This window comes from Homo sapiens, chromosome 18 (genome assembly GCF_000001405.40).
Source record: "Homo sapiens chromosome 18, GRCh38.p14 Primary Assembly".
NCBI lineage: Eukaryota > Metazoa > Chordata > Mammalia > Primates > Hominidae > Homo > Homo sapiens.
The window spans coordinates 70043021-70070763 of record NC_000018.10 but is presented as its reverse complement, the minus strand read 5'-3'; the positions used below and the strand labels follow the sequence as shown (position 1 = coordinate 70070763).

The 27743-nt window shown below is 35.5% G+C and overlaps 1 protein-coding gene across 16 annotated transcripts in view, besides 1 other annotated feature; it reads left to right on the top strand.

Moving 5' to 3' along the window:
• Window positions 1-27743, top strand: part of RTTN (rotatin) — a 202657-nt gene that overhangs the window by 134924 nt on the left and 39990 nt on the right. For 14 of the 16 annotated variants that reach the window (XR_430072.4, NM_001318520.2, XM_047437468.1 and 11 more), the window contains 6 exons: window positions 4842-4935; window positions 10722-10914; window positions 12932-13022; window positions 16480-16633; window positions 19216-19353; window positions 22576-22793. Coding sequence is in view for 15 of the 16 variants with exons in the window: in NM_001318520.2 (NP_001305449.1) it covers window positions 4842-4935; window positions 10722-10914; window positions 12932-13022; window positions 16480-16633; window positions 19216-19353; window positions 22576-22793 (888 nt within the window). In the remaining variant the exon portion in view is untranslated. Of the gene's footprint in view, window positions 1-4841; window positions 5008-10721; window positions 10915-12931; window positions 13023-16479; window positions 16634-19215; window positions 19354-22575; window positions 22794-27743 lie in introns of those variants that run through there. The other 2 variants (XM_011525905.3, XM_011525907.3) reach the window with 2 other exon arrangements.
• Window positions 22011-23210: an enhancer, noted in NCBI's record as "MED14-independent group 3 enhancer chr18:67714790-67715989 (GRCh37/hg19 assembly coordinates)". NCBI's record gives its function as "activates an origin of replication core promoter dependent on BRD2, BRD4, P300/CBP and CDK7 cofactors, and independent of MED14, by STARR-seq in HCT116 cells {active_cell/tissue: HCT116}" and the evidence as "EXISTENCE:reporter gene assay evidence [ECO:0000049][PMID:35650434]".

The window sequence follows — 27743 nt, the reverse complement described above, 5'->3', positions numbered from 1 at the left end:
AGAAAATGCAAGAGGTTGTTTGGAGTAGAATGTGGGACGGAAAGCTAAAGTTTGATGACCTGACTAATCAGATAGGAGTTAGTTAAGAAAGCTGAATCAGCTTTTGGATTTGAAGAGGTAAGATATAAGAGCTATAAAGATAAAGATGTAAGGATATTTCAGCAGCATGGAATGGCATGAAACATTACAACTGATATGAGAGAAATAACGTATTGACACTCATTTGATGGTAGTTAAAATTGTTTTATAGAAGGAAGAGTAGACAGAGGATAGTTTAAGCAGGGATGGATCCAAGAGGCTTTCTAAAAGAAAAATAGTTTTGACATAGGCATCACTGATAGGACATACAAATACCTCCAGCATGGTGACCCCAGGAAAACTTGAGGAGGTGGTAGTTTGTGTGATGATGGAGAGAGAAAGAAAATGTTATACTCTGTTTAAATAAATTTCAGCTACCTGTGGATTATCCAGAGTCTAACAACCTCTTATATTTAGTTAGGAGGAAAATACAAGTGAGACAAGCTCTTGGAAATTTGTGCTCTTAGATTACACACAGGATGGCACAGGAACTGTGACTGTGTTGTGGTGATGATCTGTCTCTTTAAGTGGTCCTTTGGTTAGACATGCAAGAATCGTCTATCATCTTCTGCTCATTCCTTCAGAGGACTTTTCTGAGCTTTCTTTTTTTTACATATATTGTACATAATCCATTTGAATTATGAATCTATTAGTTGAAATAATTTAAACTTCTTGTTATAATTTGGTTAGAATTAATGATTACAAATTGAGAAGCATGCCAAAGCTTTCCTGCTCCTGGGCATATAGAGAAAGGTATTATTTATTAAAATGAACACATGAAGCTTAGAATCTCTTAGAAACCCTTCATATCTTATATTTTTCCATGTTTTCAAAATGTGGCTAGACTTGTACTTTATTTTTTTCACACTACAATCCTTATTTTCTCCCTTTGTACCTTTTTAAAAACAATTAAATAAACTTTTTTGGCACCAGTACTGCTTTTGAGGGAAGTTGATGGAACTATTACAAGATCATTTTGGCAAATACAATATTCAAGTTCTGAATTAACTTTCAAAAAAAGTTAAAGTGTCTAGTGAAATCACTTGCTTCTGTAAGGCAGATACAAAGAAAATCATTTTTGTACATTGATGCATTTTTGCTTATATGACAGAAATTGTTTTTTACATTCCAGTTCTACTTGGATATGGCAAATGACTCTGCTATTTTCAGTGATTTCAAAGGGACTTTCTTAATTTTAGCTGCTTATTTTACACTGAAGCATAATTTAGAAACCTTCTTTAGTTACCAAATCTGCTTACAAACACACTGAAGAACAATTTTTTTCAGTTTTTATAAGCAAGATTTGAGTCCATTTTATTTTTTTATTTTCCCCTAGTTTTGAGCTAAAATGACAAATAAAATTGTATATATTTGAGATATACAGTGAGATTACTTGACATATGTATATGTGATGAAATGATTACCACAGTCAAATTAGTTAACACATCTGTCACCTAAGAGTCAACCTTTTTTTTTTGTGGTGAGAACACTTAAGAACTACTCTCTTTCAAGTAGACTGTGCAGTGTTATTAACCATATTAACCATATTCACCATGCTACACATTAGACCATATTAACCATATTCACCATGCTACACATTAGATCCCCAGAACATACTCATCTTATCTGAAAGTTTGCACTCTTTGACCAAACATCTCCCCTTTTCCCCAGCTCCTATCCCCTAGCAACATCCATTACACTAATCTGAGTCTGTTTTAGGACAGTACCTTTAAGTAGCATCAGCCTGCTCTAAAAAGCTTGTATTGTCTTTTGTAATATCTGTAAAGTAATAAGGCTAGAAATATATTCAAATTCAGATTTTTTTGTCTTACCGAGGGATTATAAATTGAAGATCTCAGGATATGTCATGTGGCAGATGTGAAAGCGAGGGAAAAGTCTAGATTGTGATTTTGCACTTAGACCATTCTAATGAATTGAGCAAGTGATAGATACAAGAATTAGACTCTCGCTGTTGTAAGAGGACAACCCTAGTTATCCTACTTACTGTGAGGTACAGAGCAGAGCAGCGAGAAGCTTGACAGGAACGGATGACTTCAGCAGACTAAGTTTGCTCTTAAACTAAGCCAATTCCTCCTCCTTCACCTGGGATGGGGCAGCTGAAGTTAGTCTAGCTGAAGTTCCGCGGGGACACAGGGGGATCAGGGAGAAAGAAGCAAGCCTCTCCTCGCAAACAAGGCCAGCCAGCTTTCTCAAGAGGTACGTCTGAGGACTTCCTCTGATTCTAACGAATTTATGCTGTCATGAATGCAGTTCTGGACTGAGAATCCTAGTCTCAACTCAGACAAATCCCTTAACTTGTGGTCCTTTTCTCTAAATGAGGACGTGGACTAGGTCAGGCTTTTTGTACCTATAGCTTCGTAGGCTCATACTGCACCTTCCAGTAGCTAATACTTAATGCCAAAATTGTCTAGTTATTACTTGGATTTTAAGGTGAAAAGTAACATGTTTACATATCGATGTACTTTATCAAATGTAACCAAATACTATCGATTGGAGATTATATCTAAACAAGCAAAGATTTGAGCATAGAACTGGGACAATTTGCTTTAATACTTTTTTGCTTTTAGTTATTAAAATAGCAATATATTAGTTTAGCACACTTAAAAAATAGAGGCTAGTAGAAATATAAATCATCCATAATCAATTTTAAAGCACCATATAAAGCAATCATTGTGTTTCCCCAACCACATGGGGTAAGTTATAATACAATAAGGTACTTTCTAAAAGCATCTTTTCTAAACTTGTGTATCCCTTCTGTGGACTATACTAAGGAAAATCACATCTTTATTAATGCCTGACCTTTGTCATGAATCACAACTTTGCTTTCTTCTAATGAGCCAGGTATTTAGTGGGCCCTTATAAGCTTTCTTTTCCCACACCGATCGTTGAAACCGCAAACCAGGTACCTATTCTATTTATATCAGTAATAAGGCCTTCTTGAGTCTTTATCAGTTGAAAGAATGTTCAGTGAAATGATAAAGGATTTCAGCATCATTATCCCCTTAACTTTTCTTATACAACCAAAAGAGTTGTGGCAGGAGCCAGATATATTAGCTTGTGCATAGTTTGTGATATCAGTCTTGGCATAGGATTATTTTCTTCACAGAACTATAAATGTTGTCTTGATATCTGTTGACAGGAACATTTTTTCACATATCTCTCATTGCCAAATTGTAGGCAAATATATTTTTAAAAATAAACAAGCTTGCTGGGCGCGGTGGCTCACGCCTGTAATCCCAGCACTTTGGGAGGCAGAGGCGGGCGGATCACGAGGTCAGGAGATCGAGACCATCCTGGCTAACACAGTGAAACCCTGCCTCTACTAAAAATACAAAAAATTAGCCGGGCGTGGTGGCGGGCGCCTGTAGTCCCAGCTACTCGGGAGGCTGAGGCAGGAGAATGGCGTGAACCCGGGAGGCGGAGCTTGCAGTGAGCCGAGATCGTGCCACTGCACTCCAGCCTGGGCAACAGAGTGAGACTCCGTCTCAAAAAAAAAAAAAATAAACAAGCTTTAGGTTATTTTTACTTAGTATCTGGATCTAATACTATATAAAATAAGGCATTTGATGTTTGTTTATGATTGACTTATTTAGACTGAACTTTTTTCCAGATTTACTTTTTAGATTATGTGCTTAGCCTACATTTTTTAGCTGCAGCTTTCTCACTTATTTCTTGGCATCATGACTGTTATACTTACTTAATGTGGTGAAAGATGGTTAAGGGCTCAAGTTAAAAGGGGGATTTAAAAAACTGTATATTCCATTTTTAGTAATTTCTTCAAATTTATATTCTCTTTACTATTAGAAACTGCAAATGAAAATAACCTTAGTTTTTGCTTTCATTTCATCATGGTAATTCTAAGGTACTCTAAGTGTTAAGATATATACACAATCAATGTACAAATACTGTGAGCTATATAGGATCTGAGTCTGGAATGATGGTTTATAACTTCTATGGATAGCTAATGTTGTGTTGCATGTACTGATATGGAGGCTACCCAGGTATGGGCACTTCATGTTACTTCACAGAAGAGAAATTGATGGTAAGGAAAAGAGTTATCTGACCTCACCACATAAGTGTTTTTCAACTAAGAGGTGCTTAGTTGAACACCTCTTAGCGCAAACACATCACTTTGCGCTTTTTCAGTCTTAGAAGGTCGGTCTGCTCATTATAAACCTGTAGGTGAAATTGTACTTGCTTTCCACGGATTTTGTTATATTTAATGTTGTATTCTGAAGCAATCTCAGCAAACTGGCACAATTTTTTAGTGTTCTTCCTTGATAGGAGGTGAGGTAGAGAAAAATCTTTTAATACTTCTAATTTTTTAGGCACTATTAAAATTTATATGTGCCATTTGGAACATTAAAAATATCTTTATTGTCAATCAAGAAATGCAAAATATCACAATAAATTATAGTTAAGGTGGTATATTTTAGCCTTTCTAACATTTGGGCAATGAGGGAATTGGCCTTATGGGAACCTTAAACTCCTAAATGGGCCTGAAGTCAATACTGCTCCTTTGAGTTACTGATTTATGTAAATGATAACAATTCCTTTAAGAAGTGGAAATGCCATTTAAAAAAACTGCTGTAACTCCCAAGATATGGAATCTTTTCTAGTTATCCTAACTAGTATAATTTTGTCTTAAACCTCCTTGTTTAAGGATATCTTGTGTGTATGTTGCCTGTGTTTCATTTTCCGTACTGTAACATTAATAAGTAAAATAATTTACTGATTCATAGGTGGCACCTTCATTGGGGAGTACTGAATTTCAGCCACTTGTGCAGTCAACAACACTTCTACCTGAAGCCTCCCATGACCAGTTTGTGGCTCAAGGTATCCTTTTAGTGAAGACATTCTACCTTCAAAAAGAAAAATGACAAGTTGGTCCAGACAGATATTTTGAAAGTAAATGTCTAAAGAACAAAATTTTAATGAAATAAGTTGTAGACCATTATGAAATACATTTAGAACCAATATATCAGAAATTAATAAAATAAATGCTCTTAACTAATAAATGGAATTTGGCTCTTAAATAAATAGTCCAATTCCTGTGTGGCTCCTTATTAGGCGCTCGTAGGTATTTGACATTTGAATTTGGGAACTGATGGGTATAACTTAACTTTATTTTTTCCCTTCTTTTGAGAAAACACTTTGCTACAAGTAATCCACTTGAAAGTAAAGCGATTCTGGTTTTAAGTATTTTCTAAGGCTATGCTTCCATTTAAAGGCACATAAAATGTATTGAGTCTTTATTTTATTAGAAATGCACAATATACAACTTGGGACTTATTTTTATTAATGGCAATATATAAATTTTGCTCCTTGTGCTGGGAACTGCTTCCAACCCTGCTGTGCTTCAAATTTGCAACTTTGCTTTTTTTTTTTTTTTTTAAATTCTAGAGAGTATATAAGCCTTATTCAGTAGCATTAAATTTTTGACTTGAAAGGACTATACTATCTAAAAAGAAAGTAATTTTAAACACTGGCATACATATAAGTATATGCAGAAAAAATACTTTCTGAAACATTTAGAAAAACTTGCTGAATTAAAACTTTGAACTTTCATTACAATATTTGTTCCAATAATTTCCTAAACAGTGTTCCATATTGGTTTTTAGTAATTCATGTTCACTATATATAAAATTATTTAACTGTAGAAAATACTCATTTGATCTTCTTAAGAACAAAAGGAGCAAACTCAGATTATTTAAATGGCTCAGGACATAGGGCATGAAATGAAATTCGATCATGAATTTCATGAACATTTATCTCTAAAAGCATGTTGCCTTACTCTGATTTTTAACATCTTTATTGAGATATAATTCACATACCATATAATTCACTTGTTTAAAGTGTATACTTTATTGGTTTTAAGTATATTCAGAGTTGTGCAACCGTCACCACGATCAATTTTAGGATATTTCCATCATCTTGCAAAAAAACCCTATACCCATTAGCAGTCACTCCCTGTCTCCCCCATTCTTGGCACTCTACGGAATCACTAATCTACTTTCCTTCTTTATAGATTTGCCCGTTTTGGACATTTTGTATGAATGGAATCATATAACATGGTCTTGTGTGACTGGCTTCTTTCACTTAGTGTGCTGTTTTCAAGGTTCATCCATGTTCTAGCATGTATCAGAACTTCATTTATTTATTGACAAATAATATTCCACTGTATGAATATATTACAGTTACCCATTCATCACGTGATATAGGCATTTGTGTGGATATACAGGCTTTCTGTTTTTTGTTTGGATTACCTTTGATTTTAAATTTATTTTATTTTCAAGTATTAACGCTTTTTTTTTTTTTTTTTTTTTTTGGAGGCAGTCTCACTCTGTTGCCCAGGCTGGAGTGCAGTGGCGCAATCTTGGCTCAGTGCAGCCTCTGCCTCCTGGGTTCAGGAGATTCTTCTGCCTCAGCCTCCTGAGTAGCTGGGATTACAGAGGTGTGCCGGTACACCTGCCTAATTTTTGTATTTTTAGTAGAGCTTGGGTTTCATCATGTTGCCCAGGCTGGTCTCTAACCCCTGACCTCAGATGATCCACCTGCCTTGGCCTCCCAAAGTGCTGGGATTACAGACATGAGCCACCATGCCCGTCCACAAATAGTATGCTTTCAATGTATATTTATGCAATTTTACTCTTTGCCAATCATTTCAGCACATATATATGACCAAAAAAAAAAAAAAAAGCATATAAAAGAAAGAATACCCACAGAAAGGGGAGGCATGAACAGAGGATGAATCCTCACAATTTTTTGGTGATATATGACACTATCAGGTATATTCCTTTTTTTTCAAAACTTGGAAATAAGAGATCAGGGTGTCAAATGTCCTCCTTAGTTTTACAAAATAAATTAGCAAGAAAATTGAAAAAATATGTATCAATTTATATTCTGAACTAGCTCTCTTTACAGAAAAATTCAAAAAAGGTTTCTATATATGCTTGCTCTAGAAGTGCTGAAGATATGTAATACATATTTTATGAATACTGAAAGATTTCCCTTGAAATTGTTTGGACAATTTTCATTAGAATTATCTCAATTTAATTTTTTCCATTTTTATTTCCAAAGATTTATCATTATTTTTTAAGAGACAGGGTCTAGCTCTGTCACCCAGGCTGGAGTGCAGTGGCATGGTCATAGCTCATTGTAGTCTCGAACACCTGGACTCAAGTAATCCTCCTGTCTCAGTTTCCCAAGTGGCTGGGATTACAGGCGTAATATTTGAGGGGAAAAGAACACAAACTCTCATGTAAAAATGAGCAGAAAACATGAAAAGATAATTCACAAAGGACCTAAAAGTAGCCTTTATCTTTGGAAAAATATTATACAAATTAATACTACCCGAAGATACTTTTTTATTTATTAAATTGCCAACAATTAAGTATTGGCAGTACATTCTTTTGGCGAGGCTGTGGAAAATAAGCACTTTCATACATTGTTAGAGAAAATGCAAATTAGTATAATTTTGGAAGGGAATTTGGCAATAGATAACAAAACTATGTATTTACCTTTGATTAAACAATTCCACTTCTAGGAATTCTCTTTTATTTATCTCCAGCAATATAAAAATACATATGTACTTGATAATTTAGCAAGCATTGTTTGTAATTATAAAACATGGAAACAACACAAATGCCTGTAAGTAGAAGGATAGTTTTTGATAGATATATAACAATATATAGATAATGATAAACATATAACAAAATTACTTATAAATAAAATTTATTTTTAAAATAACAATGGAGAACTACAGCTATTAGAAAGAGGGGGCTGGGCACAGCAGCTCACACCAATAATCCTAGAACTTTTGGAGGCTGAGGTGGGAGATACTTTTCACGATAGTGAGACTGTATCTCTACAAAATATAAAATAAATTAGCCAGGCATGGTGGCACACACCTGTGGTCTCAGCTACTCAGGAGGCTGAGGTGGGAGGAGCACTTGAGCCCAGGCTTTGAGGCTTCAGTGAGCCATGATTGCACCAGACTCCAGCCTGGGCAACAGTGAGACCATTTCTCCAAAAACGAAAAAAAAAAAAAAAAAAAGAGGGGAGGATATCTTCAAACAGATATGGACCAAATTTTAGGAAATATTGTCAAGTGAAGAAAGAAGCACAATGATAAAGAGTATTTATAGTTTATGATATTTACAGTTTTCTACTTTTGCATATGAAAGAAGGGGAAATTTAAAATACGTGTATCTATTTGTGTAGAAAGAAAACAGGAAGGAACAGCTGGAAATGAATGAGATTAATTATGAGAATGGGTGGGAGTTAGTTAGGAAATAAGAGAGGATGGGAACAGTGTAGAAGAGATTGAGGGGTGGGATAGTGACCCTTCTCTGCATGTATCTTCTTGTATAGGTTGACTTTTATAACCATGTATGTTTTACTTGCTGAAAAAAATAAAATCAACAAAAATGGGAAACAATAACATGGAATACAAACCAATTAATCCAGCTACATTTCACATGAATAGCATTGAAGTGAGAGAGGAAGTAACCCCAGTAACTCTCAGACATATTTTTAGGACTTTAGTCCTCAGACTATTGGCAAAATGAACTGTAACCAAGCATTGAACTCTAGTTACTAGTTTTATTTTTTGCAGTATTATTAGTTAGAAATTCTGAAACTACTTATTGTGTTCATAAGGCAAGGCAAATAAGTAAATATATTGTAGACAATGAAAGCCAGAATTTTTACTTTCACATAACGGAAATTACAAATATGGAAGGGAAGGAAGATGTTTAATGTTGGATTATATTTGGAGTGTTGGATTATATTTGGAGCTTTCAGTATGAATCAATTATTTTGTTTTTTAAGAGATGAGGTCTCATTCTGTCATCCAGGCTGGAGGACAGTGCTGTGATCATAGTTCACTGCAGTTGCCACCTCCTGGGCTCAAGCGATCCTCCCACCTCATCCCGAGTAGCCAGGATTAAAGGAATGTGCCGCCATGCCTGGTTCATTTTTAAATCTTTTTGTAGAGATAGGTTTCTGTATGTTGCTCAGGCTGATCTTGAACTCCTTGCCTAAAGTGATCCTCCTACCCCAGCCTCACAAAATTCTGGAATTACAGGCAAATTAATGATTTTTAATTCGTAGATAAAATATGTTTATGTGCCCAGGGGTATGTATGTGCATGCATACGTATATACACACACGTTTTCTAGCTTAGAAACAATGACACTCTAAATAGCAATGTATACATTTAGTGCCCAAATCTTGCTTTCCAAACTCCATTCTCCACTTTAGGGAATCGACACTTTGGAACAAATATCCAATTTTAGAGCTTGGACGAGGAAAGAACAAGATGAACCTGGAACATCTTGCTGTGCCAGAAAGTAAGGGAATGCTCAAAGGTTAATGGAGGTGTTCACTAATGTAGGGTGCAGGTACCTTATTACTGTTCTAAAGTCTAAAAGTATTTTGGAGAAAAGGGAGCTCTCATACAGTGTTGTTGGGAACCACTGTGGAGAACAGTATGCAGGTTCCTCAAAAACTAAAAATAGAACCTACCCTCTGATCCAGCAATCCAGCTGCTGAGTATATATCTAAAAGAAAAAAAAAGTATATCGACGAGATAGCTGCACTCCCATGTTGATTGCAACGCCATTCGTGATAGCCAAGATAGGGAATCAGTCTAAGTTCCGTCAGCAAATGAATGGATAAAGAAAATGAACCATATATGTACACAATGAAATATTACTCAGAGAAAAGAATGAAGTCCTGTCATTTGCAGCAACATGGATGGAACTGGAGGCCATTGTGTTAAATGAAATAAGCCAGGCACAGAAAGACAAATATTGCAACTCATATTTGGGAACTAAAAAAAAAAAAAGTTGAACTCATGAAAATAGAGAGTAGAATGAGGGTTACCAGAGGCTAAAGAGTGGAGAGCCAGAGATAAAGAAGGGATGGTTAGTGGGTACAAAATACAGTTAGGAGGAATAAGATCTAGTGTTCAGTAGCACAACAGGGTAACTATAGTTAACAATAATTTATTGTATAGTTCAAAATAACTAAAAGAATGGAGTTGGAATGTTCCCAACACAAAGAAATGGTAAATGTTTGAGGTGATGGATGTCCCAGTTACCTTGATTTGAGCATTGCACATAGTATGCCTGTATCAAAATATCATGTGTACCCCATAAATATGTACAATGATTATATATCCATAATTAAAAATTTAAAAATAATAAAAATAGTAAGATTTTACTCTGAAGAAAACCTAAAGATTATTTGAATTTGGACACACCTTTGGCCCCTCGAGTTTCAGAAAAAGGATTGTAAATCATCTTTTTGTTCTCAGTGTCTGAATACGTGGGGCATGAAGTCATGTTCTGCCCTTTCTGACCTGTCTCTTCTGCATACGACAATGTCCGTGTGTACACATCTACACATCTACATCCACACATGGTGGAAGGTGGAGGTCAGGAGTAGTAGGGGTAGCCTGACCCCTAACCTCAAGGTTAAGATGAGCCAAGAAGCTAAGGCAATTCCCCAACTATACATTATCATTTTCAGGAACTTTCCTATGATTATAAGAACTTTTGAGTATTGTACATAGCTGTAAGGTAAATAATAATTCTTATGTTTATTTTCAATAATAGGTCACCAGGAAAGTACATCACCACGGCCACCTCATGATTCATCTCTTTCTGCTCCCCTGCCCAAACTGTGTGTTTTTGTTACTCCATCTCTTCTTTCAGCAATGTGCAGCCTCTTGGACAACCTCTTGACGATTGCTCCCAGAGACACTGCAAAGGCTTTTCGACAAGCTCATCTCATAGAACTTCTCTGTAGGTAAGAGATAAATACTCCTAGAGAGGCATGTTAGTTGAGATAAATTTACACAAACTGTATTCATGACTTGATACAAGATTTCTTGTGACCTGGAAATACAGCTTTATTCTTTTTTAGGCTCATTGAACTCTAGGATTTTGCTTTTGCCAGAATTGTCTTGGTGGTTTTTATTTTACATCTATTAAAGCACTTGTATTAGTTTGTTATCTTGACTATTAAGGCCAAAGAAAAACTCCTGCTTTCTAAAATTCATGGATTCTAAACCTTATTTATCCTCCAGCACACTTAAGGAATATGGTGCTATCCCCTGTTCTTAATGGATGTGAGGGACTTTGGGAATTCATCTTTTTAGTGGTCATATCAGAATAATGTCCCTGGGTTGAAAAATTATTGGTTAAATTCATTTGGAGTTATTTTGTTAAGGGAAATTAAACTTTTCATCAAAAAGTATTCTGATAAAATTTAGGGAAATTAAATTCAAAGAAAAATTATTTGAATTTTTATTACTTATTTGATATTAATCAGTCTGTAACATAATTTTTCTGAATTTCTAGGAAGGTATAGTAGAAAAGGACTAGATATTGAATTCAGGTTGACCTAAGGTCTAATTATAGTTCATTCACTCAGTAGCTTGCAGCCTTGGGAAATTACTCCCTACTGTGTCATTAACACCTATTTAATGGGGTTAGTGTGAGAATTAAAAGTGATGGTATCTAGGATACCCCCTTAAGTATTACTTCTCTTTTCTTCTGGTGTTCAGTTTATTCTAGCCAACCATACCCACCTCCTTTTGACCACATGTTTATTTGCATTTCTCTGTCTCTCTGTCCCTTTACCTTTGAACATACACCATCTGAAATGTCTTGCATCTTCTTGCCAAATCATAGTGTCTTCTCTTTCTTTCTGGGATATTAAGAAAACTCTAGAAAATATAAACTCTAAAAGAAGTATTCCTTGTTTCACCTCATTCAATTGTAATTATTCCTTTAACATGTATGATACGCAATGGAGTATGAGTTTGTTCTGGCTTTAATATTTATTGATCATTTTTTTACTGTACCTACTCGGATTGGAAAAGTAACTGCTAGTCAGTTGGCTTTCCTTCCTGGATGCTCCTGCCTGAAGATGACCAAAATAGAGCTCTAGGGATAGGATCTTCTTTGCTTCTTACGAGTCAGCTAAGAGTCTGATGTGGCATTGAGGCCACAGGGGCATTAAAAGACCTTTTATGGCAAAGGCTTATCATATTTCCGTACCTGTTTTTCATTTTTGACTTTAAAAAAATCCTACTTGTTTTACTTTATTTTTATTTTTTTATTTTTATTTATTTTGAGACGGAGTTTCACTCTTATTGCCCAGGCTGGAATGCAGTGGCGCGATCTCGGCTCACTGCAACCTCCGCCTCCTGGGTTCAAGCGATTCTCCTGTCTCAACCTCCTGAGTAGCTGGGATTACAGGCATCTGCCACTACACCCAGCTAATTTTTGGTACCTTTAGTAGAGACGGGGTTTCACCATGTTCACCAGGCTGGTCTTGAACTCCTGACCCCAGGTGATCCACCCACCTTGGCCTCCCAAAGTGCTGGGATTACAGGCGTGAGCCACCGCACCCGGCCTGTTTTACTTTATTTTGTTTTTTACTTTCTAAATATGAACAGTGTTCTTGCTATTTTAGCCAGTATTTTTGCTATTTTATTAGGAAAATAACCACCAAGTTTCCTGTTACTCATGGGCTGTATTATATTTTATTCTGCTTTTAATTAGGTTTCCTTAGATATTTTCTTCACAGCTCTTTGCTTCTCACTTTTCTCTGACAAGATATTTTCCTGTTTGAAGGTAACCCAGGATACAATTTGAAATTCTTTGAGATATCTTTTTATAAACATTTTCTTTGCTTATAAAGATCCTTTCTCTTGAATTGTATTCGAGTTACCTTTAAACTTCAAATTCTGATTTCTTAATCTTTAATAAAAAGTATACTAATCTTCTGAAGGATTTTCTTTTTCTGATCGTCACAGCATTGCAGATGCTACCCTCATACAGACATGTGTCCAGGAACTCAGAGCCCTGCTGCCTTCATCACCTCCAGCTGAACACACTCAGGCTCAGGTAAGCATCTCAAGTCTGTTTGTGGGTTTGTTTACGTTAGGTGTCAAAAATAAAAATCTTGCTGAGGAGATACTAGTCATAGGAAAAGGATGAAAACCTCTCAAAATATACATGGTATGATGAGATTATTCGAAATACGTTACTTGAAATTTTAATATGGGACATGTCTGGATGTTAGAAAAGAGAGGTGGGGTTTGAAGACCTAGATTCTATTCTTGACTCCATCATTAACCAGCTTTAAATGTATGATCAAGTGTCTGGATATCTTGGAGCACCACTTTAATAATAAAGAGGGACATTGGTATAGTTCACTTCCTGCTTCTGTGATTTTAGGCTATCTCTGTTATTTACACCAAAGTTAAAGTTGTTAAAATATTTGGTGGCTAAGTTATGTGTATTTTCAAAACCCAATTTGATAAAAATGATTTATTCTTGTTCCTTCACAGATATTTAGTTTTAAATTCTTGCCTATAGCTAGAATCTATTTATAAAACATGCTTAACAATTATTCATGTAGCTGTTGCTAACAGAAATTTTATTTCAAAATCAAATTTTAAGAAGGGCTACAAGATTTATTTAGGAGGTGATGAATTAAAGGTGAAGTAGACCAATATCTCTTGCTTTGAGATGTGTTCTTTGAGCTGAATAAGACAGACCCCATTACAAAGTTTGGGAATGCTACACGCATGGTCTTTGAAGCTGTTGTCCTGGTGCAGTGTTTTCACCTGAGCATGCCTATTGCATAATGACTGTCTCCTCCATTTTTCTGCTCTCCATCCAGCAAATCTTTGTTGAGTACTTGCTGTGTGCCTGAATCTTCTCCAAGTGAATAAAACAAAGACCCTTCCCTCAAGTTGGGAGAATAGATAATTAGAAAATCCATATATGCCTGAAGATGATAGACATCTCAGAAGAAAAACTAAAGCAGGGGACAGGAAGTGATGTCAGAGTTGGAAGGGTAGGGCTATTCCACTTAGGATGATTAGGCAGTGTCGTGGGACCCAAAGTTAGTGAAGAAGCTAGTCCTATGGTCATTGCAAGACCCCTGAGGTTGGGGTATGCTTGGCCTATCCAAGAAACAGCAAGGAGGGTGGAGTCGCTGGAGCAGAATCTATGAGGGCAAGATGAGGCCAGAGGGGCACAGTCAGCTCCATGAAGTCAGGACCTTGCTGGCTGTTATGTTCCATTGTGTTCTGAGTGTCTGGCATAGGGCTTGTCTCATGACAGGTGCTCACTTGATACTTGTGGGATGAATGAATAATAGCAGTAGCAAACATTTATGGGCATTTGTTTTTGTTAATTCATGTAATCTTCACAAGAATCATGAAGTTATCATTAATGTCATTTTATAAAGGAAATGCCTGAGGCCCAGAGAGATGAGTGACTTGTCCAAGGTCTCTGACATAGATTCCAACCTATGCAGGTCAGTTCCAGGGCCCACATTCTTAACCACTGCACCAGCTGGCCTTATGTAGATTAAATGCTTCTGGGCTCTTGGTATTTATATAAGATCATTCACTCATTTCAGAAAATTCTTGAGCCTCTGCTTTACCAGATTCTGTTCTAGGTGCTAGTGATATATCCTTGAACAAAGCAGATGAGCATCTCTCCTCACGTAGAGTCTGTGCCATAAATGCAGGAGACAGACAGTGAACAAGTAAATAAAATGCATTGTATCAGATAGTCACAAATGGTATGGAAAAAAGCAATTGAGGATGGGTAAAAGGGTGTGTCAGAAAGGGGAGGGGCCTCCTGAAGGTGACACTTAAGCAGAAAGCTGGGGAGGTGAGGGAGCAGGCTGCGAGTGCCTGCGGCAGATGGGGTGGCCAGAGCCCTGCTGGTGGGGTGATACTCTGCTAAAGGTATGATGGATTAAAGTCTGTGGTCAGTTGGTTGGTATTTTTTTTTAAGAGGGCCATACATAGAAAAAGAGTTACTTTATCAACTACTCTTAAGATATGAATATTTTATTTAATCTTGAATGTGATCATATACAAAAGAATCTTTAGCAATTCAGCGTTTTCTCTATAACACTTCTTCTTGCCTCACCTGGCATGGTTTATCTATTTATGGTAATATTTCATACATCCAGAGGTCAGACTTGCTATAATTTCAGTAGTGTAGAGTATGAATGTAATATGAAGTCTCAAGACTTCACGGCAGTAAACAAATTAAATTTCACAAACTGAAGAGTTTGTGAAGCCTGGAGCCACCTACACTTTTATATAAAGTAAGTTGGCAGATTAGATAAAGGGAGGACGTATTCATCAGGAGAAGTAGGGCAGAACTATTTGTAAATAGTCTGAGACCATTGACCTCAGAGACACATACTCCACAAATTTACAACAGGCTCTCGACTCTTCATTACACTCTTACAACCCCAGAATAAGGTGAGAGGAAAAAAAGTGTGTGTGTGTGTGTGTATGTGTGTGTGTGTACAGAGAGAGAGAATGACTGATTTCAGAATATCTTTATAAAATTCACTTATATGTAACTGGCTCATTGCTTGAGGGTAGTGGACAAATGAGACATCACAGCTCATTCTTTAATTGTTACATATTCAGAGGATTATTTTTCTGAAAAGTACTTTTGCCAGTTAATACTTAACAATATTAGCATCAGGCAAATTCCAGAGATGGTTTTGTTGGTAATATTGAAGATGATTTAATTTTTTCTTTTATAATTAATAATAGTAATTTTATGCTGAGGGCAAAAATAGAACATATTTGCATTTTATTTGTAGCAATAACTAGGCTAGCTTCCCCCCACCCCTGCTTATGCACTTTGAAGGGTGTTTTTGTAATCTTTCTTTCTTTACAAAATTATAGACTTTATGGCTTTGTTATACACTTTTCCACTTCTTCCATAATATTGATTTCATAATTTGACTACTTGAAAAATATGGGACTTTTTTTTTTCTTTTGAAACAGGGTTTTACTCTGTCACCCAGGCTGGAGTTCAGTGGTGTGATCACAGCTCACTATAGCCTCTACCTTCTGGGCTTAAGTGGTCCTCCCATCTCAGCCTCCCAAGTAGCTGGGACTGCAGGCCCGGCTAATTTTTATATTTTTTGTGGAAACAGGATCTCACCGTATTGCCCAGGCTGGTCTCAAACTCCTGGGCTCAAGCCATCTGCCCACCTTGGCCTCTCAAAGGACTGGCATTACAGGTGTGTTAGCTACCACACCTGGCCAAGACTTTACTTCTTTAAATGGAATTCAAAACTTGACTTTGAAAACATTGCTTTGTTTGGTGTATAGTTGACAGTATTAATATGGCTGTTAATGACATGCTTATGAGAAAAATAATGCTTTGTCTGCTATGTGTTAATTTCAGATCTTGAAAAATTATGGTTAATATTTTATTTTTTATTGTGTTACAAAAGTAAAATGCTGTATCACTGAGATGGGCTTTTTATATGGCATGTTTGATTTGACCCTGTCTCCTTTTCAAACAGGTTTCCTTTCTCCTGGAATACCTATCCTCTTTGTCCAGGCTTCTGCAGTCATGTTTATTGGTGGAGCCTGACCTTGTGATTCAGGATGAGCTTGTGAAACCTCTTATCACCAATATCATTGGAATTCTCACCATATGTACCAAAGATGTATTAGGTAAGCTTAATTGTTTTAGTTTAGAATGTAAGTGAATAATACTGAGGAAAAAAAACTTACTCTGTTTCAGATATTCACTTGAAGGTTACTTTTTGAGTTTCTTTTTGCTAGTATTTTGGAAGGCTTTGATAATGTGTTTTATAGTTTGGATGCCTTTTAATGGTACCAATTAAGACAAGTGTGTAGTATAATAAAGGACTACCCTTGAGTTTTCAGTTTAAATGAGGGCAAAGCTCTCTGTGTGATGTTAGAAAGTACAGTGAGTTCTGGGTATTAACTATTCTTATAAACTATGGCTAAGGCCAAAAGCTTAATAAAACATTCCCAATAACAAGTATAAGCCAATCTAGAATATATCACAAATTTCCTAAGGTCCTAAATTATTGAAATGTATATATATTTTGTGATCTAATGTTATCTCCAGGGGAAAATATTCTATGATGAAAAGTTGAATGTAATGCTTAGTGGAGAAAATTAAAGCAAAGTAGGATCTTTGTCAAAATCTAATATAATTGTTTTGAAAATGAAAACAATCATTTATAATGAAGTAATTGACCATTTGGTAATTCTCTTTGCCTTTCAGTTTTATTTGAACTATGGATTTACTTGGTTTTAGGTCTGGAAAATGAAGTGTGTTATGATACCCAGCAAAGCCAGTTCTCAGCATCTCATCAGTGTTAAAATGATCTCGATGTTAAAGGAATAGTAATTCCTTAGAAATTCAACAAGTGGCAGTGATACCCTAACTAAGCTTATTAGGTTAGACTGGACAAGCTCAACAAGGTGATATCACCCCCAGTCTCTAAGGAGTGAACATTGATTCTGGGGAGAAGAGGGTGAGGCAAAAACATCTTAGAAATTAAAATAGTTTGTAGGCTTCCAAAGCTCAACTCTACCTGAGACAATCTTATTACTATTTCTCTTCCTGGTTTTTCTTGAGAATTCCTTGAGAAGCATTGACGTTGAGTTCATGGAAGATACACAAGATGTATGCAAGACTAGTGCCACAAAACTGTGGTGAATAGATGACAGCAGCTGGAGGACCTTTGGTTGATTGTTTGATCCCAAGGTCATATAGCAAAAGGTGGTCTGTGTATCTTGGCTGCTATTGGCTGCCTTGTGAATGCTTTTTATTGATCCTCTTGCTTTTCTGTATGATTTGAGCTTTGAAAATTAATTGAAAGTAGTATATATTTAATTACATAAAAGTTGTTTAACCCATCATTAATTATATCAAGCGCTGAAAGGAAAAAATGTCAATATCTGAATGTATATCTATTAGCTGGTTAAATTAAAAATTGTTTTCTCATATCTAGCAAAAAGTTTTAAAAGTTCACTAAGAATATTTTTAAAGAAGTTTTTAAAATTTTTTTCTGAAAAAAATAAGTTTTAAATGATTTTATAAGAATTTATTATATTGCTGTTGTTTTTATATGAATTGCTAATTTATGTATGTAAATTGACACATTGTGATGATATATATATATAAGTAAATAAATTACATGAAAAGTTATTCAGCAAGTATAGGTGCAAAGCTAAATTTGGTATTAATAGGTCTTTAATTTTTAATTTAATTTTCAGCTTAAATGTTTTATTCGGCTCTTCTTAAGCCTGTATTGAATAAAAACAGTAAGCTCTATACTTAGCCTTTTTATGTACAAAGTACAGATATACATATAGTACATAAAGAGATATACAGTATATGTGTGGAATTAAAATCTTGTGGGGATGGCAATGAGGAAACATTTTCTGAAATAAACTCTTTAGAGAGCCACTAATGACAAAAGGGTTGAGAAACACCAAGGATTGCCCTGGGGAAGGTGCAGTTTTCAAGTATCTCATAGGTGCTGAAGTACACCTAGATGGATCTCCTCGGGGTTAACGTCCTATAAAGTTTACATTATAGTGGAATTAGATAAAAGATGACAGATCCCCCTGAAGGCATGGTCAGAGAGAGTCCTCAGCGACTGCTCTCCAGCTTCCATTTACCTGAGTGGAGAGAAGGGAAAATGGGTCCTCATCCTAGAATTGCTACATCCTTAGCCATAGGAAAAGCTGCAGAATCTTCTTTTGCGTCATACTTTTCTTTGTGGGATGATACTTTTCTTGGTTCTTCAAAGAAATTCTTTCTTTTCTACCTTGACCTTGGCACACTGTGCTTTCCTTTCACCCCTGCCCAAAGCTGCTGGAGGGGATAAAGGAAATAGGGGAAAACTTACTCTGACAAAAGTAGCACAAACAATGACATATTTTTATAATGTGCCAATATGTAGTTCTGCAGTCATGGCTTAATATTTAGTTTGTCACACCTTCTGATTGTTCTTGAGTATGCTTTAATAAGAGGAGAGTTTGTGAGTGTGGCTTTATATGCAGGAGGGTGGAGGGGAGATATCTTAAGAAGCAATGGAAAAGAAGTTAATTGAAATAAATTTTGGATAATGCTGAATTAGATTTGTCTTCATTTGATAAGTGCACACCCCTCATTTTAAGTGTAATGAAGCGTCTGTGGTAAGTTTTATATCTTGAAAGGTTCTTTTCCTTCTTTGTGTTAATAACTTGAAGTGTTTTGATTAATTTTATAGATAAAGAGTTAATATCAGCTTTTTATCACACATGGACACATTTATTTAATCTTCTGGCCATGCTCCTGAGGAAAGCTGGTGCCATCACACTCCCGTTTGTTACCGTGGCCCTGGCCAAGCACTGGACAGCGGCGATTGGTAAGAAGATACTTGCATAATCTTGGGGGCTTTCTGCTAATAAAACGAGATAATGATTCTGCCTGTTTAGGTATGTAAATTCACTAAAGTTAAGTAATTATAGCATGGCATATAAAAGAGGTATCAGGGTGCTTGCTTTGAAAAATTTGCAGTGTTCTTGAGCCCCCCAAAAATGCATTTTTGAAAAATTGAAACACATTTTGAGATAACATAAAAGCGAGTTAGGAAAGCCTGTGGTTTTATTATTTTTTAAGCTTTTTAAAGATGTCATCCCTGAAGCTCTGTTTTATTGAGAACATTATATTGGCCACTGTTGGTTTTTTTAAATTTTACTTTAAGTTCTGGGATACATGTGCAGAACGTGCAGGTTTTTTACATAGGAATACATGTGCCATGGTGGTTTGCTGCACCTATCAACCGATCATCTAGGTTTTAAGCCCCACATGCATTAGGTATTTGTCCTAATGCTCTCCCTCCCCTTGCTTCTCATCCCCCGACACGGTGTGTGATGTTCCCTACCCTGTGTCCATGTGTTCTCATTGTTCATCTCTCACTTGTGAATGAGAACACACAGTGTTTGGTTTTCTGTTCCTGTGTTAGTTTGCTGAGAATGATGGCTTCCAGCTTCATCCGTGTACCTGAAAGGACATGAACTCATTCTTTTTTTATGGCTGCATAATGTTCCATGGTGTATATGTGCTGCATTTTCTTTATCCACTGTGTCATTGATGGGCATTGGGTTGGTTCCAAGTCTTTGCTATTGTGAACAGTGCCACAGTAAACATATGTGTGCATTTGTCTTTACAGTAGGATGATTTATAAAACTTTAGGTATATACCCAGTAATGGGATTGTTGGGTCAAATGGTATTTCTGGTTCTAGATGCTTGAGGAATTGCCACACTGTCTTCCACAATGGTTAAACTAACTTATACTCCCACCAGCAGTGTAAAAGTGTTCCCATTTTCTCCACATCCTCGCCAGCATCTGTTGTTTCCTGACTTTTGAATAATCACCATTCTAACTGGCCTGAGATGGTATCTCATTGTGGTTTTGATTTGCATTTCTCTAATGACCAGTGATGATGGGTTTTTTTTCATGTTTGTCGGCCGCATAAATGTCATCTTTTGAGAAGTGTCTGTTCGTATCCTTCGCCCACTTTTTGATGCGGTTGTTTGTTTTTTTCTTGTAAATTTGTTTAAGTTCCTTGTAGATTCTGGATGTTAGACCTTTGTCAGATGGATAGATTACAAAAATTTTCTCCCATTGTGTAGGTTGCCTGTTCACTCTGATGATAGTTTGTTTTGCTATGCAGACGCTCTTTAGTTTAGATCCCATTTGTCAGTTGTAAGCCTGTGGTTTTATAAAGGTACATATGATATGATTATAAAACAATGAGATAAATTTTACTGTGTTGGTATAGAAACCAGTATCCTTTCTGACATATGTACATTGTATGTGGATACATCTTCATATATAAAATCTGGTATACATGATAACATGGAAAGTTAGGATACAAATAACTTTCTCATCACATCAGAATTTTCTTATAGTACAGAAATGCCAAGAGTATAGTATAATTATTTTTATGTTTTTCATGATAGTTGCCCACTAAAATAAACATGATTATTTTAAAATAACTAATCTTTAATTTTTCATGAAGCCTCCTAAATTTTAGCATAGAAAAAAGCTGTTTTTTAACATAAATATTCATAACTGACATTTATGTAACCTTTTTAAACAACCTACTTAAATGTACTCAAAATTGAGTTATTTTAAGCTTCCAAAGTACCTGCTAATTCAACTGACCGATTTTTTTTAACATTTATTTTATCATTTGATCATTCAGTAAACTTAAATGCATGATACAATTTTTAACCAAAGCGATAGTAAGAATTATGGCAAATGCATGTTTAACAAGGAACAGAATTGTTAATTTTCTGGATGTAGGAGTTCTGAGTCTACCATGGAGTACAGTGTCCACGTAGGATATCATTATTTTGTTTAAAATATAATAATTGAAAGAGATTGACTGATTAAGACATTGGGATTTTCTTCTTGTATTTATTGGGGGAAAATTAGTTTATCACCTGAATCACCAATAATATCAATAGAAAGCATGATGCTACCCACATTAGATAAATCTGGCCTGCAGCTTGTTTTGGTAAATAAAGTTTTATTGGAACATAGCCACACTCACTTACATATTGCATATGGCTGCTTTCATGCTACAAAAGTTGAGGTGAATAGTTGTGAAAAAGCCAGTTACCTGCAGAGTATAAAATACTTACTACTTGGACCTTTACAGAAAAAGTTTGCTGACCTCTGACTTAAACTTATTTATCTAACACTATTTCTTTAGTGATAAAATAAATACATATTAAATTCAAAACCTTCCTTCAAAATATGTGTACAGTTTTATGTAATAATAGTACTAATCAAAAGTAACTTACTGCATAAATGGTTTTCATAATAGTAATGTTAATGAAAACATTAATAACAATTATCATTTTTTTTGCCATGGTTTTATTTTTGTTTATTTTTATTTTTTTAAATCAATTGCCATCTCATATGCCCATATACATTTAAAACATGTCGTGGTCACTCCGTAACTTGTGTTATCTATAAGAGTCTTTTCTCGAACTTGACTAATATTTGGACATCATTTAAATGAACATAATTCTCATGAAACCCTACTGCTGACTACTTTATTTTTCTTATGTAACTTTAATTTGTACAAGCCAAAATCTAAGTAAAAATTTTTATGGTTATAATTATCACACAAGCATAAATCTAAAATATAAAATCAAACAAAATTATAAATCCAATTTTTCAAGTTTATAAAATGTAAAACAACACATGTAATTTTGATTAAACAAAATCAGTTCTCACAACAGGAAATTAATAATGACTGTTTCAGTGTAAATTCCTTTCAGTTTGGTCTGTTCTTTCCACTCTGTATTAAGTTTGTGAATCAGTTCATGACCACTCATGTGCTGTCTGAACTGCTATGAAATATTTGTTTGTACATTGTGCCAACACTGCATACTAAGTCTTGCTTTTAAGTTCTGGTTGGCACCAGCTCCTTTAACAGTTGCAACACAATCACACAAGTTGGTAATCTAGATGATCCAGAGTATAGTTACTTTAAAATCAACTTGATTTCCTTTTTGTTGAATTTTGAAGAAATTTTCAAACATTCACATCTGAAATTATTCCTTTAGATATGTTCTGCACATGTGCAGGCTTGTCTGCCACGTGTCCTGCCCTGTATACTGCCAGCTTGCAATTCCTTTCTGTTCTCTTGACCGAAGAAGCAAAAGGGCATCTCCAGGCTAAGAGCAAAACACATTTATGCTGTAGTCCAACAGTGGCTTCACTTCTTGATGACTCTCAGGAAAATCAGAAATCTCTAGAACAACTTAGTGATGTAATCCTTCAGGTACGTCATTTCTTGGTTTTTCAAAAACTTTATTTAGCGTTTAAATAAATTGACTTTCAGTCATGGTCTTGTTAAAAACTGTCTCAGTCATTTAAATTAAGAAATAGTAATGCTTATTATGACTGTTTAAATGATACAAAAGTTTATAAAGTTAAATTAACTATCTCCTCCTTAGCCCCACCCGCTTATGTTGACCAGTTTCTTCAGTGAATATGATGTAAAGATTTGAAGTGAAATATTACTAATCTAAATCTAACAGTTGATCAAAACAGTGTTTCATATCATGACCAAAATGGATATATTTCAGAAATGCAGTTATGGTTCAAAATTTATTGTAATTTTAAAGATATATCTACGTCTCTGAAAATATATTCTAAGTGACATTTGATTTCTAGAAATGGACCACAGATTTTTGGGGTTGGTTACATGTATAGGTAAGTGGACTTGTCTGGCACATTTGGAAGAAAATGCCCCCTTTCCAAGCCCTGTTGCCTGTTTTATCTTATAAAATTATGTTTACAGTCTAAAATGTGAATCAAGAATTTTGTTAATCAGAAAACATTCTAAAATCACTAAAGTATTATTTTATAAGTAGATGAGTAATTTTTTAAAAACTGTGTGTTTACTAAGTTAAAGTTGTACATTGTTTTTTACAAATAGGAATATTTTTAGATTTTTCAGTATTTAGAATTATTCTTTTTAATCATGTGGTTTTATGATTTTTGTCTTCTCACTGAAAGGCAGAAAAGTAGTAGAATTGTTGATTGAAGAATTTGCTTCAGCTTCCCAATCAGCCAGCCACGTTTGGCAAAGATAGAAGATTGTCTGTGTGCTGGTTTGTTATAATTCCTTTGTTGCTTAGAAGATTGTTCCTGTGCTGATTTGTTATAGTCCCTTTGTTGCTTAGAATTTGGAGATTTTTACCCACTTCTTTGCCTGTGAGAGTCATGATCATGCAGATATTTCTGGTATGACTGCTTGTGCATTTTGGGCACAAGGCTTGATGATGTTGAGATGCAGAAAGGATTGCCAGTAAGAAGAAAATGCTTCCTGGTTCACCCAGGAGCTGTCCTGTGGAGAGTGTCACAGGGTCCTCAGGGGACTTTGTCTCCCTTGTGCTACAAAATCTGGTTACCTTTCCAGCATAGATAAGAAGCCTGTTAAGGCATCCCCCATTTTCTCATCCATCTCCAGCAGCGCCTTCAGAAGCCTGGATAGAGCTCTAGGGGAGAAGCGTTCCTCAAAGCATTTCTCTAAAAGCCTCTTATTCTTGGGAGGCCATAGCTTTCCTGTACCTACTACCTCACTGTCAGTTCACTCAAATTTTCTTAGTTGAAAACAAAAACTGGACGTTGTCCCAGTTTTCTCATTCCCCATCAGAACAACAGACTTTATTTCCCAATGATTAACTGAGTCTCCAGTTTTGCACTTTAAAGAATGTTGTAAGGAGGAAAATTCAAACCTTTTCAAAAGTCTCCCAACCACAACCCCTATGTAATTTAATTATAAATTTCCCAACTTTGGCTTTGGTTGGAGCACGGTACTGCTTGGGGAAAGGCTTTTGCTCTTGCTGACACACTTGGCTCGTCAGAGAATTTCAGTGACTTCACTCAGAGGACTGAGTGCAGTGAGGGCAGTGTGCTGGGCCCTGCCCTCCCTGCTGAGGCCAAAATGGCAATAGGTGTGGGAGCCTGGCTCTGCATGGATGACTGTGGGTGTCCTGCAACCAATCCTCCTGGACCTGGGAAATTTAAAGACTTCCAGCCAGGCAAAGCCAGGGCTATTTTATTTCCCAACTCTTTAATGTTGTTTGTGGTGCTGTGTTTGAAGGGTCTCTGATGAGACTCATGATGCATATGGATCCATGTAGGGTAATGAATCAGTTTATAATAGTATACGCAGGAAAAAAAAAATCTGTGCTAGAGGAATTTGTGAAATTTACCTTGCCCTTATTTTTACCTAATACTTTGTAATATTATTCATTATAAAAGCTTTTGTTTATAATTTTTTTGTTACCTTTTTGGACAAAGAAAATGAGATAGCCTACAGTCACAGAATATCTCAATGATTTTCCTAATGACTAGCTAATTTTCCTCTTTATTTCTCTAAATTACAAATCACGTATTTTGTGAGGGTATGGATACATTAACCAATTATTTAAACCATGTTTCCTAATAAATCATACTCTTTGTGTTCGTGTAAGCAGTAGAATTTGGATACATGACATCTGTTAGAAAGGCACAGGCAAGTTTAAGACAAAGAAAGTGAAGAGAGGAAGTATACTCCTGGCACACTCATGACAAAATGTGTACCTAATGTAAGTTGGGACAGTTAATGGGCCTATTAAATTACAAACACTGTTTTCTTTGCCTTATAGAAATAGGATATGTGAATTAAAATATTATTAGAATACATTCAACAGCAACACGTTTTGATAAGTAATAAATGTAGCTTACTATATGTCCATGGAGGCTGTGGTTTGGGCCAGGTGCTGTATGAAGCAAAGTAAATTACAGTCTTTAAATTATCTGAAGAAATTATATTCTAAAATTGATGTCTTTCAAAGGTCTAAGTTTTCTGTAAAATCATACTCAAAAAACATTTGATATGGGACCTTAGGCAAATCACTTAACTTCTTGGGATTCAGTTCTTCAAGTGCAAAATGATAGGCTTTTATTACATTATTACTAAGTTTCAGCTGCCTCTAAAATCTCCATCCTCCTAACAAATCACTGTATTGGAACTTCAGTTAAATGTCTGGTCAGAGTTATCTTTTAAATGGTGCTTTATAGCAGTATCCCATAGGGGATACATGTTGAAAGTATTCATACTTACATCTTAAGTCATGTGTAAGTGTTTTTTTCTAAGTCCATTTTGAGGTGGTTTCAGACTTTGAGCATTTTCTAAGAAATATTCAGCTGTCTTTTGTCCATAAAATACTGAACACATTTGACTTAGCAGAGATTTTACCTTCCCTAGTTTATGAAGATACAGTAGTCTCCTCTTATCTGTAGTTTTGCCTTTTATAGCTTCAGTTACTCATGGTTGACTGTAGTCCAGAAATATTAAATGGAAAATTCCAGAAATACACAATACTTAACGTCTTAAATTGCATGCCATTCTGAGTAGTATGATGAAATATGCTCTGTCTCCCCTCAGGACGTGAATCATGCTATGTCTAGCTTACCCATGCTGCATATGATACGTGCCCATTCATCACTTAGTATAGCAATCTTGGTTATCAGACTGATGAATCACAAGACGAAGAAGGATGAGTGCATTGTAGTAAGATATTTTAGAGAGAGAGACAGAGAGGCCACAATCACATAATTTTTATTATACTATTCTGTTATTATTATTGTTAGTCTCCTACCTGCCTAATTTATAATTAAACTTTATTGTAGTTACATATTTATAGGAATAAAACTTAGAATATATGGAGTTGGGTACTATTCATGGTTTTAGGTATCCACTGGGGGTGTTGGAATGGATCCCTCAAGGATAAAGGGGCCTACTGTGCTCAATATGTTTTATTTGCAAATACATATAGATAACAAGATCAATAAAAATCTCTCTATATGTAGTAGATTTTGTCTATAATTGATATATTAATCAGTTGAGATAATGAATTAATTTTGCTCCTTATATTTGATCTGATATCTAAAAGTAGTAATGCAAATGAGGAACTCTTGTGCCTTATTTTAGATGTATTTTGTGCTCACATTTAGTGAATGGTAAAATTCAAGGGTAAATCTGTTGAAAGGAAGGCTTATATATTTAAGATCCCATTGTGTTGATGAATGTTCACTGTAATTAAAAAGCCTATTTTTTACATTAAGTACCTTTTGGAAAGAAAGCAAGAAAGTCTTGACCTAGAATACCCTACATCACTTAAATGTACAGAAGGGATTAATCTAGAAAGAGCATGACATTTAAATGAATTTTGGTTGATGAAAAGACATTATGTCTTGCTCTGTATATCGTCTTGATTTCTTTTTCTCTTTTTGTGTATTTGCTAGTTATCTGTTGCTTGAGTTTATTCTCAGCCTTGCTGCCTCCAGGCTCCTCACACTTCCAGTCGTGTCCACTTGCTCTTTGCAGTGATGCTCAGACTGCTTTTCAGTCTGCAGTAAGTACTGTATGGAAACTGATAGAAAGTCAGTTCTTCACTCCAGCCTTTCCTTCAGTATATGTTGGAAAGTATATGAATTTACCATAGATTAATTCTGTTTGTTTCCTTTTTGTCTGTTTGGTTTTGGTTTGGGGCTTTGATTTCAGTTTTACCATGTACACATTTTAGAGAACCAAACAGTTGTATCTGTAAGTTTTTACTAAAAGTAGGAGATTTCTGCCTTCATTCCTCATATTCTCAGAGGTGACCACTTATACCTCATTTAGCTACTTTTTATAGCTTCTCTTTCATGTCTCTAAATAACATGCTTATATTTTTTTGTCTTGATTATTCAGTTTTAAATATTATCTGTTGAATTCCTACTATGGAAAATGAGACTTTAGCTTTTTTTTCATGCCTCACCCACCTACCCTGCCAAAATGGGTTCCCTTCTCATTCTCCTAATATTGATATACCATAATGCCAATTAGAGAATAGGCAGCGTGAATGGTATTAAATTTATGACAGTGTTATACACAGTTGAACCGTGTTGCAGAGTGTTTAACTTTCTTTTCTTGCACAGCTTTTGTTTGCCTTAGAGGTAATTATTGTATTATTTTAAAACGTGCTGACTTTCCTGTTATCACTTACAAGCTCCATGCTCTTTGCCAGAATTAAACATCCTCTCAGTGTGTTCAGAATTGTCAGAACTTCATCGCTTCATCTTTTGGAAGAAATCTCTTCCCAATTCCTTCTAACCTACTTGGTGCCTGTTTTCATCCTGGGATATCCATTCACCAGTTTCTGGGAATTCCTTTACCTCTGTGCTAGGTGCAGTT